Source organism: Homo sapiens, chromosome 3, assembly GCF_000001405.40.
Source record: "Homo sapiens chromosome 3, GRCh38.p14 Primary Assembly".
Taxonomy (NCBI): Eukaryota; Metazoa; Chordata; class Mammalia; order Primates; family Hominidae; genus Homo; species Homo sapiens.
In genome coordinates, this window is record NC_000003.12 from 141,441,928 (window position 1) to 141,457,217 (window position 15,290).

At 42.5% G+C, this 15,290-nt stretch overlaps 1 protein-coding gene and 1 long non-coding RNA gene across 117 annotated transcripts in view, besides 3 other annotated features; one reads left to right on the forward strand and one right to left on the reverse strand.

Annotated features, from left to right (window-relative positions):
- Nucleotides 1-7,865, forward strand: part of ZBTB38 (zinc finger and BTB domain containing 38) — a 125,607-nt gene extending 117,742 nt beyond the window's left edge. For all 116 annotated transcript variants that reach the window (XM_047447856.1, XM_047447857.1, NM_001080412.3 and 113 more), the window contains one exon: nucleotides 462-7,865. In XM_047447856.1, the coding sequence (XP_047303812.1) occupies nucleotides 462-4,049 (3,588 nt within the window). In that variant the 3' untranslated portion in view covers nucleotides 4,050-7,865. The remainder of the gene's footprint in view (nucleotides 1-461) is intronic.
- Nucleotides 6,712-13,958, reverse strand: LOC124906291 (uncharacterized). The gene is made up of 2 exons (XR_007096120.1): nucleotides 13,277-13,958; nucleotides 6,712-12,669 (listed from the first exon to the last, which is right to left on the reverse strand). It is a non-coding gene; the product is annotated as an uncharacterized LOC124906291 (long non-coding RNA).
- Nucleotides 9,239-9,411: a silencer, noted in NCBI's record as "fragment chr3:141170008-141170180 (GRCh37/hg19 assembly coordinates)". NCBI's record gives its function as "represses an EF-1alpha promoter that drives an FKBP-Casp9 reporter gene in an ReSE screen in K562 erythroleukemia cells {active_cell/tissue: K562}" and the evidence as "EXISTENCE:reporter gene assay evidence [ECO:0000049][PMID:32094911]".
- Nucleotides 10,205-10,344: an enhancer, noted in NCBI's record as "active region_20632". NCBI's record gives its function as "activates an Ori minimal core promoter by ATAC-STARR-seq in GM12878 lymphoblastoid cells {active_cell/tissue: GM12878}" and the evidence as "EXISTENCE:reporter gene assay evidence [ECO:0000049][PMID:35858748]".
- Nucleotides 13,652-14,294: an enhancer, noted in NCBI's record as "H3K27ac-H3K4me1 hESC enhancer chr3:141174421-141175063 (GRCh37/hg19 assembly coordinates)". NCBI's record gives its function as "activates a minimal SCP1, AML or CMV promoter by ChIP-STARR-seq in naive H9 embryonic stem cells {active_cell/tissue: H9 hESC(naive)}" and the evidence as "EXISTENCE:reporter gene assay evidence [ECO:0000049][PMID:30033119]".

Sequence of the window (15,290 nt, forward strand, 5' to 3'; positions counted from 1 at the left end):
ATCATTTTCCTGCTTCATGGTTGTGACTGGATCATCAGATTTCTCTTTGAAAATAGGCAGGAAGCTTCTGGCAGGACCATGGCATTGCCCAGCTCTAGTAGTTCAAAGCAGCAGCCTTGAATGATGATGAGACCCTTAACATTTCAGAAAAAAAAAAAAAACCTCCTCCCCTCCCAAATTTGGACATGTATATATAGCTCCAACTTTGGAGAAAAGGGGAAGGAGTTCTGGGAGGATTTCCAATGATAACAACTATTAGCAATGGTATGAGAAACAGGCTGGGGCAAGAAAAAGATTTAGCTTCTAATGTTGACTCTTGAGTCTCGGGAGCATCAACAGAATGAGATAAAAACCTGAAGTTTCATACAAAAGAACAGTTTTTCACAGAAGTGGAAAATAGTCTAGAGATAAAGAAGCCACCTGTGGAAGATTATCTGACCATTTCTCTCCTCTTGTTTCAGATGACAGTCATGTCCCTTTCCAGGGACCTCAAGGACGACTTTCACAGTGACACGGTACTCTCCATCTTAAATGAGCAGCGCATTCGGGGCATTTTATGCGATGTCACTATCATTGTGGAAGATACCAAATTTAAAGCCCATAGCAATGTTCTGGCAGCTTCAAGCCTGTATTTTAAAAATATCTTTTGGAGCCATACAATCTGTATTTCCAGCCACGTCCTGGAGCTGGACGATCTCAAAGCTGAAGTGTTTACTGAAATACTTAATTATATCTACAGTTCCACAGTCGTTGTCAAGAGACAGGAAACAGTCACTGATCTCGCAGCTGCAGGAAAAAAGCTGGGAATATCGTTCTTGGAAGACCTTACTGATCGCAACTTCTCAAATTCCCCGGGTCCCTATGTATTCTGTATTACTGAAAAGGGAGTGGTTAAAGAAGAAAAAAATGAAAAAAGGCATGAAGAACCAGCCATCACTAATGGGCCAAGGATCACAAATGCATTTTCCATCATCGAAACAGAAAATAGTAATAACATGTTTTCCCCGCTGGACTTGAGGGCAAGTTTCAAAAAGGTCTCCGACTCCATGAGAACAGCTAGCCTTTGCCTGGAGAGGACGGACGTCTGCCACGAGGCAGAGCCTGTCCGCACACTTGCCGAGCACTCATACGCTGTTTCTTCCGTAGCTGAAGCTTACAGAAGTCAGCCTGTACGTGAACATGATGGCAGTTCACCTGGTAACACAGGGAAAGAAAATTGTGAAGCCCTTGCAGCGAAACCGAAAACATGCCGGAAGCCAAAGACATTCTCCATACCACAGGATTCGGATTCAGCCACAGAAAATATACCACCCCCTCCAGTATCCAACTTAGAGGTTAATCAAGAAAGAAGTCCACAACCAGCTGCTGTTCTCACTCGTTCAAAATCTCCAAACAATGAAGGAGATGTCCATTTTTCCAGGGAAGATGAAAATCAATCTTCTGATGTTCCCGGGCCGCCAGCCGCAGAGGTTCCACCTCTGGTGTACAATTGTAGCTGCTGTTCCAAAGCCTTTGACAGCAGCACTCTGCTCAGTGCCCACATGCAGCTTCACAAGCCAACCCAGGAGCCTTTAGTGTGCAAGTATTGCAACAAACAATTCACCACCCTGAACAGGTTGGATCGGCATGAACAGATCTGCATGAGGTCAAGCCACATGCCCATTCCTGGAGGAAACCAACGCTTTTTAGAAAACTATCCTACCATTGGACAAAATGGAGGTTCATTCACAGGTCCAGAACCTTTATTATCTGAAAATAGGATTGGTGAATTTTCCAGTACCGGAAGTACTTTGCCAGACACGGACCACATGGTTAAATTTGTTAATGGGCAAATGCTCTACAGTTGCGTTGTGTGCAAACGTAGTTATGTGACCTTATCTAGCCTCCGAAGACATGCAAATGTTCACTCCTGGAGAAGAACATATCCTTGCCATTACTGCAACAAAGTATTTGCATTGGCTGAGTACAGGACAAGGCATGAAATTTGGCATACGGGAGAAAGACGATATCAGTGCATTTTCTGTCTTGAAACTTTCATGACCTACTATATACTCAAAAATCATCAGAAGTCTTTCCATGCCATCGATCATAGACTTTCCATCAGTAAAAAAACAGCAAATGGAGGCTTGAAGCCTAGTGTCTATCCGTATAAACTTTATAGGCTACTGCCTATGAAATGCAAGAGAGCCCCTTATAAGAGCTACCGAAATTCTTCCTATGAAAATGCACGAGAAAACAGTCAAATGAATGAGTCTGCACCTGGTACCTATGTTGTTCAGAATCCACACAGCTCTGAATTACCAACGCTGAATTTCCAAGATACTGTAAACACCCTGACCAACAGTCCAGCCATCCCATTGGAAACATCTGCATGTCAGGACATACCCACTTCTGCCAATGTACAAAATGCAGAGGGTACCAAATGGGGAGAGGAGGCATTGAAAATGGATCTTGACAATAACTTTTATTCAACTGAGGTGTCAGTTTCTTCCACTGAAAATGCTGTCAGTTCTGACCTCCGGGCAGGGGATGTACCTGTTTTATCTTTGAGTAATAGCAGTGAGAATGCCGCCTCTGTGATCAGCTACAGTGGCTCTGCACCCTCGGTCATTGTACACAGCAGCCAGTTTTCATCGGTGATCATGCACAGCAATGCCATTGCTGCCATGACCAGCAGCAACCACAGAGCCTTTTCAGACCCAGCTGTCAGTCAGTCCCTGAAAGATGACAGTAAGCCCGAGCCAGATAAAGTGGGTAGGTTTGCAAGCAGACCCAAAAGCATTAAGGAGAAAAAGAAAACTACATCACATACCAGGGGAGAAATACCGGAGGAGTCAAACTATGTTGCTGATCCTGGAGGATCACTGAGCAAAACCACAAATATTGCTGAAGAAACCAGCAAAATTGAAACCTACATTGCAAAACCTGCTCTGCCGGGAACCTCCACAAATAGTAATGTTGCACCCCTTTGCCAAATAACAGTGAAAATTGGAAACGAAGCCATTGTGAAAAGGCACATTCTAGGATCTAAATTGTTTTATAAAAGAGGGAGAAGACCCAAGTATCAGATGCAGGAGGAGCCTTTGCCACAGGGGAATGACCCAGAACCCAGTGGAGACAGCCCACTCGGGCTTTGCCAATCCGAGTGCATGGAGATGAGTGAAGTGTTCGATGACGCAAGTGACCAGGATTCCACTGACAAACCGTGGCGCCCTTACTACAACTACAAACCCAAAAAGAAATCCAGACAGTTGAAAAAAATGAGGAAAGTCAACTGGAGGAAGGAGCACGGAAACAGGAGCCCGAGCCATAAATGTAAATACCCAGCAGAACTGGATTGCGCCGTGGGGAAGGCTCCTCAGGATAAACCCTTTGAGGAAGAAGAAACTAAAGAGATGCCCAAGCTGCAGTGTGAACTCTGTGATGGAGACAAAGCAGTGGGGGCTGGAAACCAAGGAAGGCCCCACCGACATCTTACTTCTCGGCCATATGCCTGCGAGCTCTGCGCCAAGCAGTTCCAGAGCCCTTCCACACTCAAAATGCACATGAGATGTCACACCGGGGAGAAGCCATACCAGTGCAAGACCTGCGGACGGTGCTTTTCGGTGCAAGGAAACTTACAGAAACATGAACGCATCCACCTGGGCTTGAAGGAGTTCGTCTGTCAGTATTGCAACAAGGCATTCACCTTGAATGAGACCCTCAAAATCCATGAAAGAATCCATACTGGAGAAAAGCGTTACCACTGTCAGTTCTGCTTTCAGAGATTTTTGTATCTCTCCACCAAAAGGAATCACGAGCAGAGGCATATTCGGGAGCATAATGGGAAGGGCTATGCCTGCTTCCAGTGCCCCAAAATTTGCAAAACAGCTGCTGCCCTTGGAATGCACCAAAAGAAACACTTATTCAAAAGCCCAAGTCAGCAGGAGAAAATAGGTGACGTGTGCCACGAAAACTCAAATCCCTTGGAGAATCAACATTTCATTGGTTCAGAAGACAATGACCAAAAGGATAACATACAAACCGGTGTGGAAAATGTTGTCCTTTGAGTGGCAAGAATTAGAAAAATCTTCAAAAATATAGTTGGTGGTTTTTTTAGTTATGATTTAAGTTTAGTTTCATTTTGTCCATGTGACAGTCATGAAGGAGTGAAATTAAAAAAAAAAAAAACTCATTTGTGAAAATTCCAGAAAAAGGATCCTAATATCTACTTTGGGTTTTAGCATTAACTTTATGCAAAGTGCACAAAAACAAAATAGCTGACTCCTCCAATATCCCAAGTTTCTTGTGAAAGTTAATAAAATTCTTAGCTGTGGTATTTCTACCAGTGAAAAAAGGAGTTTAATTTTAGCCTAGTTTAAAACTTTCTAATAATTGCTAATAAGAACTGGCTGCTGAACTGTCTTTAGTCACTGGAGAAAATAAGGGTCAGATATCCTGAAGATGGCATCTTCGTAAATATGTTACGTGGTAATAAGCTGTGTGACGGTCTTTATTCCCATCTGGCTTCTGCACTATTAAAATTTGTTTAAATTAATGGATACACATGAAATACTTAAACAATATAACTGAAATTATGTGCATAATGAGTAACCTAAAGTAGGACATTCATACATTATGTAGAACTACTTTTCTGCAACACAAACCTTGTAAAATACATATATAAATCACTATAACTTTTAACTGTCCATATCCCCTGTAGAGAATTATGAGGAGCAATAGATCTGCAAATAATGAGGACTGATGTAAAAATCAATAGAAAGCATTTTGAATATGATTTAAGAGCATGTGAATGCTTTTAGATGGAATGCTGTTCCCTTGAAGTTATGGCTGAGCTGTTCTTAGAACTGGTCTACTCAATTCACAGAAAACATAGGTCATGCCTTATCTATGGGGGAACACCCTCCCAGAATTTACCTGTGATTACCTGTGCTGCATATTACTTTGCAATGGCCTCATCTCAGAGAATGAAAGAGGGTCACATTGTTCTGAAACTCTCTGCAGTCTTCCAACCACCACAAGGCCATGGATGTGGGGGTCTATTCCAGACAGACTTAAGGGCTCAAGTGGAACCTGCCATCTCCCATTCCACTGAAGGACTGTCCAAGAGATTTAGTGCAAGGTACACTGCAGTAGTGAATTCCCAGGCACTTGAAAGTGACTGCCTAATCCCTACAATTACTAGCCTTGTTGGAGATTATGCAGCCCACAAGTACAGACTAGTATAAAGCAAAAGGACAAAGGAACCCCCACCCTCCACCCCACCCATTAATGACTTGAGTGGGCAAGAAGAAGTGATGGCCTTCCTTGCCTAAAACAGTAGCTTTGTTTTTAGGGGGTGGGAAGGTAGGATGTGGAGTGACATGGTTCTATCCTTTACTTATGAGACTCAGAAATATATCTACAAAGCCAGATGCTCTGTCTTCATATTTGCAGACATCTAGACCCCTTGCTAAAAACCCACTGAAGTTTTTTTTTTATGTTCTTTGACCCACACCATCAACACTACCCTCAAATCTAATTGCCCTACAGCATATTCTATCATGTGGACTAGGTTCCTGGAAAGCCGGAACTCATGATTCTTTTTCAAACTGCCAGAATAGAAGGGAGAGAGAAAACATTTCTACCCTTTGATCACCAGTGTGAACAGAATCCGGAATGCAGTTTCAGCGTGACCTGCAGTCATTCATGTTCATTGGATTTGACAGATGGAAACCCAAGGTTATCGAAGATTGGAAGGTTATCATTGTGAAGAAGTAGCTCAAAGGACTCCGGTTTCTGTCTACAAGTGTGATGTCTCCATGAAGAAGACTTAGTATGGATTTGGGTGGGTAAGAAAGCATTTAAACGCCCAGGAAAGGACATGATTAAAGTTGACCTTTTAATACTGTAGTACCTTGCTGTTAAGTAACCCCACTATTGTATCTGCATTTATCTTTTGTTCATCTACTTTCACTTACATACAGTATTATATAAGTAGAGAAAAATGGGAAAATGCAAGCAAATTCAACTTTATTTTATACATTGTATATATGTACACCCTACACTATTCATTTGGGTTTTATTAAAGAGATAGTCACAAAGGGCTTACGAAAATCATTTTTGAATTGATAATTAGAATATTGAATAAGCAATCCTATGATCCACTAATTTGTTTTATCAGTTAATAATATTAATCAAAGACATTTACTGTATATTCTAGTCATTTTGATTTGAGTTAACCCCAAATATAAAATTACCTGTAGTGATGTCTCTCTCCCAGCCCTTATATGTGGATATTTTTTAAGTGGACTTGTATGCTGATAATTCTAGACCAAAGTAAATATGGCAGAATATTTATACATGAAAAAATAATTTTGCAAATATTTTCTATAATTGTATTCATTTAAAATGTTGATAGCTTGTGTTAGTTTCAGGGAGGGGTGTATATTTTGATAAAAAAATACTTGACTTTGTAATTCTGTATATTCTATACAATTTATAGCAGAGCCGTTTTAAGACAGCCTTGTCACATTTTTTTGTTAATTGTGAAAATTTTATTGAGTGATGTTTAAGTATGCATTGAGTACATGACCAACTAGAATTAAAGTAAGTGTAAACAGTGAACATACTGTATGCTGTACAAGATATAATGTAACTTGCTGTTTTAGCATCTGTATTTTGGTTAGAAGATATTATTAAATGCAGATGTTAAGGATTGGAAAAGTCTAATTTTATTTTTAGAAATAATGGATATAAATTTGTTTTTGCTTGATTAAAATAGCTTATTCCTACATTAAGTCTCTTTTTAAATGTTTTCATGTTATTTCTTTTGTGCAGCTATTTCATCTGTGTGAGTCACAGCTTTGTTTCCACGTATTATTCAGTTTATTTCTGTTTCCTTACTTGTTTACATTCCGTGGTACCTACTTACATGCTTAGGAGTCAAATGGATTATGACATTAGGAAAAAAGCAGAATAAAAGAGATTGAAGTCTTCTGATGATTGAGTGTTTTGGATAGGCCTGATCTTATAATGATAAATCAGAGAATGAAATGCTCTCCAGGAAGCATTCTGCTCCACTCATCCGTGGGAAACAAATTACATTTATTGAGTACCAGGCACTGGGCAATGTCTTTACATAGGCTATTTCATTAACACACACGCACCAGAATTCGACCTCATTATCCTCGTTTTATAGTGACTTTGAGAAGGTCTCACAACCAGACAAAGCCAGGATGCTAACCTAGGTCTGCCTGACTCCAAAGCCCATGTTTTTGTTCCTTCTCAACACTGTAGAGAAAAATCATTTATAGAAACTGAACAGAGTATGAGGAAAGGAGATATGATAAAGTAATGCAGCTTTAGGATGGCAGTTAGTGACTGCCCTGGAACAGGATTAAAGGAGGCTGTGTCAGGTTCAGCTTCCCCTGAATTGGGCTTCCCTTATATCTCAGGAGATTGCCCTATAAAATCAGTAAAATTTGTGCACTTTTTTAAGGATATGGAGTAAAATTGTAATAGCATTATAAGCTGGTAATTTTCACACAAAGAAAAAAATACGTTCCGTCGTCACAGACTCTACTCCTAAACTTAGCTAACTAACTATCTTGCAAATGCCTGCAGTTTGTCCCAGTGGGCAATGTGAGAGGGGATGTCGGTGGCTCAGGCAGCACAGTCCATCACCAACACAGAGAAAATTACTGCCAGGCCTACCGGTGGCTGGCCAGTAGCATCAATTTTGTATTGGAAGGGCAATCCAAACCAGATTCACCAAAAATTTGATAACTGTTATCTGCTAAAACTAACTTCATTATGTACAAGAACAACAGATTTAATATTGAAAGCATCTGTAACAATTGGGAAAGTAAAAGCATAAAACAAAAGTGTTAGTATATTTTTTTCCATTACTTCGGATACTTTCATTCTTGCTACTCATCTTTTCTCATCACCTACTGATTGATTTAGTTGCACTCCCATCTGTCTCTTATCAGTTTATTTTTACAGAAGCAACAGCTCTTCCACTTCAGTTTCCTCCAAATCTGAGAATGCATCCCCCTCGCCCTCCCCAAATCCTGACCAGCTATTGATTTCTCTTCTGGAGAGAGAAGCCTCCTTTACTCCCTCCCTAGTTTGTACATCCTAACCCAGTTCCTCAAGCAAGATGGTCAGTGAGCAAGAAAGTTGGCTGGGTGTGCAATTTAGAACTATTCACTCTAAATTTAGACAACGAATGAAGAACTAGTTAGAAATGTTATATTTTATTATTTCATTAGTAACATCTAAAACATTCTATTTAGAATGTTTTTGTGGAAAATCAAACACTTTTTTGCAATAATTTTAAAATATATGACTTGTATGTAATTATAGGTGAAAGTATTTTATTCCAGTTAGAGAAACTGGTAAACAGACATTTTAAAGATGTAATAATGTGGCCGGGCGTGGTGGCTCACAACTGTAATCCCAGCACGTTGGAGGCCGAGGCGGGAGTTCAGGAATGGGCTGGCCAACATGGTGAAACCCCGTCTCTACTAAAAATACAAAACTTTAGCTGGGCATAGTGGTGGGTGCCTATAATCCCAGCTACTGGGGAGGCTGAAGCAGGAGAATCACTTGAACCTGGGAGGCGGAGGTGTAGTGAGCTGAGATCGTGCCTCTGCACTCTGGCCTGCACAACAGAGCAAGACTCCATCTCAAAAAAAAATAATAATGCTAACTTATGTAAAATTGTAATTAATTCATTCAAAATATACTTAATTTTTACTGCTGAACTAGGACTACAGAGATGTGAGGTAGCTTGTGCCTTTGAGGAACTTAAGTCTGGTGAAGGAGATTGATGAGACAATAGATGATTATAAAACAAAACTCTGAGCTCTTAAGAGGCCTAGAACCAAAGCAGAGAGAAGTGATACTGAGCGGGGGCTGGTGGAGCTGGGCTTCACCAGAGGCGTCGGGTCCAGAGAGGAGCAACTAAAACAAAGGAGCCACCGGGGAATGTAGGTTGTTCCAAAAGTCTGGCGTTTGGGATGATGAACCTGGAGAGGCACATGGGACACATCATCAGGGCCTTGGCTTTGCCAGAGTTGGACCTCTATCCTGACAGCATAAGGCAGTGGGCAAGCAAAGAAGGGGGCTGGGTAGTAAGAGATGAACTCAGAGAGAGTTAACACAATATCCAAGCAAGATGAGAAGCCTTTGGAGGACTTCAGCAGAGAGTGGAAGGATCTGATATGATTACAAGGATCACTCTTACTGCGTGTACTGAATAGACCACAGCCCGGGGCAAGGGTGGAGGCAGGGAGATGAGATAGGAGACTGTGGCAGCACAGGCGGGAGATGACAGTGGCTTGGAAGAGGGTGGGAGTAGTGGGGATGGTAAGAAATGGGTCACATTCTGGAGATAGATTTTTAATTTTGTAATGTGGAAATTTTCAAGCCTATGCAGAAGTAGAATAGTTTGGTGAAACCCAGTGTACCCATCATTCAACAATCAACAATTCACAGCCAATGTTGTTTCATCAATACCCTCACCTACTTTCCTTCTCCACTGTATTATTTTGAAGCAGATCATAGACATCATACCATTTCATCTGTAAATATGTCAGTATACATCTCTAAAAAGGTAAACAACATTTTTAATATAACCATATCATTACCATTCCTTAAAAATTAACATTTCCTTAATATCAAGTTCCATTCGTTAAAATTTCTGGTTGTCTCATCATTATATATATATTTTTTACAATTGGAATCAGAATCCAACTAAAGTCCCATACTACAATTAGTTGATATACCTGTCTTATAATCTATAGATTTTCTATTTTTTCCCTTCGCAATTTCATTCCGAAGAAATTCGGTGTTCACAGTCTAGGAAGAAACAAGGCAACTTCTTAGGTTGGGTTATGTTCTTCCATTAGGAGGTACACTCTGTGTGGCTTAGATATTGGATGTATTTTGAAGACAGATCTGATAGATTTGCTAATGGTGTAGATACCAGGGGTTGAAAAAGAGAGGGATCAAAAATGACACCAAGGTTTGGGCCTGAACAATTAGAAGGATGGTGTTGCCAACAAACTAGATACCTGGGTTGGAAGTTCAGAAGAGGAGACTGACTTGAGGTAAGGATTTGAAAGTTGTATTTTATTCATTCAAAATATATTTGAGGTGGGAGTACAGCACAAGAATGGCCAAAACAAATAGTCCCTGGAGCCTGTGACATAGTGGGGAACACAAAAGGCTAAAAAGCTGATTATTTACAACCATACTAAATGCTATGCAGAAGGGCTGCATGGTGCTCTGAGGACATCTAATGGAGGAATGTAACCTAGTTGGGAGGTTCAAGGGAGGCTGTCTTTGAGGAAGTAACTTTTTGTTTTCAGACCTAGACCTGAGGAAGTAACTTTTGAGCTGAGGTCTGAAAGATAAATAAGAGTTGAAAGGAGAGAGAGTTTCTAGGTTGAGGGACTAACAGATATCAAGGGCAGCCTGTGGAGGGAACACAGTTCTTTGGAGGCCAGTGGTGGCCAGAGTACAGAGAAATTGATTTAAAATCAGACTAGAGGACAGGAGCCATACCATGCAGAACCTTCAAGGTCATGCCAAGAATTTGGATCTTATTCTTAAGATCCAGAAGATCTTAAGAGCATCAGAAAGCCATTGAATTATTTAAAGCAGGTTGGGACAAGAAGAGGTATATTTAATCAGTTTTGTATTACAAAAAAGTCACTGTGGCTGAAATGTAGACAATGGCTTGGAAGACAGTAGCGGCCAGAAGTAGAGCAGTTAGGAAGCTACTGCAGTTGTGCAGGCTAGAGATTATAGTGGCTTGGATTTGTTAACTGGAAAAACCTTAAACAAGTTAAATGTAACAGAGTTTAATTGAGCAAAGAACCATTTGTGAATTGGGGACCCCTAAGAACCAGAATAGGTTTTAAGAACTCCAGCCTACAACGTAGTCAGGCAGCATTTATAAGAAGAAAATGGAAGAAGTAAGGTACAGAGGCAGCTTCATGGGCTACAGCTCACTGTTTTGCCTTATGTCAATCAGTCAGCTGTCTGAGATTGACTGAAGCTCAGCTGCTGAACTGAGACTCAGCTGTTAGTTTAGGCATTTAGTTAGTTTATGCAACTAAGTAAGGTTGCAGTTCATTTTGGACTTGAGTATGAAGGCATCCTTAGGCCAAATTTAGTTTAGTTTAACTGATGATGTGATTGCAGTGAAGATAGAGAGAAAGGGGAGGATTTGGGAGATACTTAAGGGAGAGAATCAGCAGGACGTGATGTTTGATGATATATGGGAAGTGAGGGCTAGGGATGGATCAAGGATAGTCTTTGGGTTTTAGAATTGTTGAAGCTAGGAGTGCAAGGTGTCCCGTCCATGAAGCTTGTATAGAGAAGGAAGAATCCAGAAAACACCAACACAAATGACCCCTGACTTCTGAGGTTTCCACTTACAACTTTTTGACTTCATGATTATGCAAAAGCAATACACATTCTGTAGAAACCATATTTTGAGTACCCATACAAGCATTCCATTTTTTACTCAGTACAGTATTCAATAAATTTCATGAGCTATTCTACACTTTATCATAAAATAAGCATTGCATTGGATGAGTTTGCCCAACTGCAGGCTAAAGTAAGCATTTGACCCACATTTAAGGTAGACTAGGCTAAGCTATTTGGTAGATTTTTTTTTTTTTTTTTTTTTTGAGATGGAATCTCGCTCTGTTGCCCAGGCTGGAGTGCAATGGTGCGATCTTGGCTCACTGCAACCTCCGCCTCCCGGGTTCAAGTGATTCTCCTGCCTCAGCCTCCGGAGTAGCTGGGATTACAGGCACGTGCTACCATGCCCGGGGAATTTTTGTATTTTTAGTAGAGATGGGTTTCACCATGTTGGCCAGGCTGGTCACAAACCCCTGACCAGGGGGTTAAGGGGCTTGCCCAGGCCAGACAGGACCAACTCTGAGCCTTTTGGTCTCCAAGACACTGTTTTCATCCCCACCTACTTATTCCACATTGACTAAGGTATTTTTTGGAAGAACCTAGAGCTAAAACAATAAAAAATACTGTCCTTTCCTGAAAATGAGTGTTTATTGGCCTGAGACTCTAATACTTTCAGAGACCTAGGTCATTCCTTTTTTTATTCGACATATTCTGTATGGCAACTAGTACTGCCAGGCGCTATTCTAAGCATCTAATGAAGATTAACTCATTTAGTCCTCATATCACCCCATGAGGGAAACACTATTATCATTGCCAACAATGTTTAGTTTGGTTATCTTTTTGCTGCACGGTGTCACAAAACAGTGGCTTAAAACAACCATTTATTATTATTTCACATGGTTCTGTGGTTTGACTGGGATCAGCTGGGCAGAGCCTCTCACGCAGTTGCAGTTAGATGGTGATGAGGCTGGAGTCATCTAAAGGCATGACCAGGCTGGCATTAAAGCAGCCACAGCCCACCCAGTTTCAAGGGGTTGAAGGTGTAGACTCCAGTCCTCAGTGGGGGAGTCACAGACACTTACAGGGAGGGAAGGAATTGATGGCAGCCATCTTCAGAGGTAAGCTACAACGACGGGTCATTCCCAATGAGAAAACCAAGCACAGAGAAGTTAAATTACTTACCAAAGGCCATACAGCTGGTATGTGAATAAACAGAGTTCATCCCAGGCAGTTGTGTTCCAGAGCCTGCTAGGAGAGGCAAAAGGGATTGGAGCTCAATAGCGCAGCACGGACTCTCACAGCAGAGTCAGAGTGTGAAGAGCACAGCATTATTCATAGCAGAACTGGAGAGTCCTAGAGTCATCCATCAGGGATCGGTGAAAAGGAAGAAATTCTAAAAATACTAGGAAATGTCAAGGACTGCCTAAACAAGGCTGTTATTATGTTGGGGGGTGAAAATATGGTCTCATGTGGCCCAAGGCAAGTGGAAGCCTTCATGCTTTCATTTATCTTTTCAATCAAGAAAAAATGAAAATATGAGTGTTGGGGGGCAGGAGTGGGTGGGGTATGTGTGTGGTATTTTTCCTTATAAATAATTAACATCTGGAACCTTTAGTCAGATACTCAAAGGGGTCATATACGGGAGAAACTAAGGCTTGGACCAGGGAGTTAAAATTTGCAGTGCAGACCAGCTTCAGAAGGTATCTTCAAGCTCCTCTGCTAAACGTCTGGGTCATCGATGACCTTATGCACATTTGCTCCCTCTAATGGAAGGACAAGGAAATGACATGTCTACTTCAGAAAGGTTAGTCACATCACAGGAGTAGTGGGTATTGCCAGAAATAAGCCGACTCACCTCTGGAGTGGTTGGTTTCTCTCTGGAACTCTAGCGACCTGAGACAGTTGGGTAGCTTAGGCCATTTTCGATGTCTAGCTTCTCAGAACTTCTGGGTCAGAAAGGGAGGTTCCACACATTGATTTGGACGTGCTCGACATCTGCGTGAGTGTGGTGAGTGGAAGAGCATCAGGCCATGTCCCAGGTCTTTCCAAATCAGACTCCATTATTTCTGACATTCCTCTTCCTAAAGACCAGAGGTAGGAATTCAGGGCCGCCATTTTCGTCGTCTCTTATCACGATGGGAATCAGCGTTCTCTGCTGCTGCTCCTGCTGAACACGACGACATTCCAGCCACCGGGAACTGCTCGGGACTCAGTATCATTCTCAGACCTAGGCAGGAGCGTTCCGTGCTTGCCCTCCTCCACAGGTGCCCCGCCGCACGGGGCAAAGAGTCTGCAGGGCCAACAGGGATGTGCCCCCGCAATGTCCACGCCATCCCCAGAGACCGCATTCTGGTACCCAGAACCTGAGAATTCCCTGCAGACTTTCAAGGCCTGTTCTGGCCGCTTCCTTGCCAGTGCCACACCCCTGGGGCAGCCAAAGGGCAGCTGTTTGCAGGGGTTGTGGACCGAGTTTGTGATGGAGTTTCAGCGTCCACATGTGTGCCTGAGGCCCCTAGCAGCCTGGGAGGGAGCAGGGTGAGGGGAGGAGGGGATGGGAGAAGATCTGGCCCACCTCTTCCCCTGCTGTCTCGTTCCTGCAGGAAATGCCAGAAACTAGGAATTCCACATTCCAACACGGTCTTCCAGATTGCTGTGAAAGTATATTTGTCAAGGGAGGAGAACAGAATATATTTAATTAAGAACTTGCTAGCCTGGTTTATACCTTTTAAATATTTAGACACATGATATATACGCCTCCATCTGTACACTTGCTCCCCGCCTTGCGAGTGTTGAGGGGGCGGCTGTCATCACTCTCCAAAATGCCTGGCTTCTCATCACGCTGTCTGTGTATACAAGCTCCTGACCATGCTGAAACGTTCATGCCCATCCCTACCCCAGCCCCATCCACAGACGTGATCATTTCTCAATACCTAATTCAAAGGCCCCATCAAAAGCCTCTTCCTTGCAGTGTTGTGTGAGACAGCCCCTCACGCCTCTGCTTGCCTTGACCTCCAGCCCCACCACAGCTCTCTGGATTCAGCCGTTTTCAATTCTGCCTCTGCCGTCAGCCAGCGAGCTCCTCCCGGATGTTCCCAGCATCAGCATGCTGCGGTCAAATGCAAGTCATCTATGAAGTGTGCCGATTCGCCACTCCAGATGACCAACTGCCTTGGTGTGCCTCGCACTGAAGACTCTCCCAAGTTGCAAAACATTCAGTGCTAAAACTGAGACAGTCCCAGGCAAATGAGGACGATGGGTCACCCTAACGGGGAAGAGCCTCTTCAGAAAGGAAAGGAGCATCAGCAGGCATGGTAGAAGTAGAACTCACTGGCCAATTTCAGTTTCAAACAACTAATAGGACGTTCTTTCCTGAGCAGTGAGGAAACACCTAGGCCACACAGAAATCTGGCCAGGCTGCACAAGTCTGGCATGAGAAAATGGAGGGAAGAACCTTGGGACCCAATCTCCAGAGCCCTACTAAAATCCTTCAGTGATTTCACAGTCACTCCTACTTCTCTCATTTCTCTGAAAAACCTCCTGGGAAACCAAGCTCACCATACTGCTTCCAGCTGCCCACACAAGGCATTTGCCTCTCAGAATTTTTGATAGCGTCCACCCTAAAAATCAGTGAGTACAAGTCTTCCACTACATCCTGCCCAGTGTGGAGGAAAGCTACAGGTTTTCCTGCTGAGTCCTTTTCTATGTTTATGGGTGAAAGCACCTGAATTTCCTTTAGGAAAACCCCCTAACCCTCTTATTCATCAGCCACACCTTCAGACCATATCTGAAATCAGGATCAGGTGACTGGTGGCCACCTGATGGGATTGGGAAGGAAGCATATAAGCCGGTTTCTAGCACGTGTTTTTTTA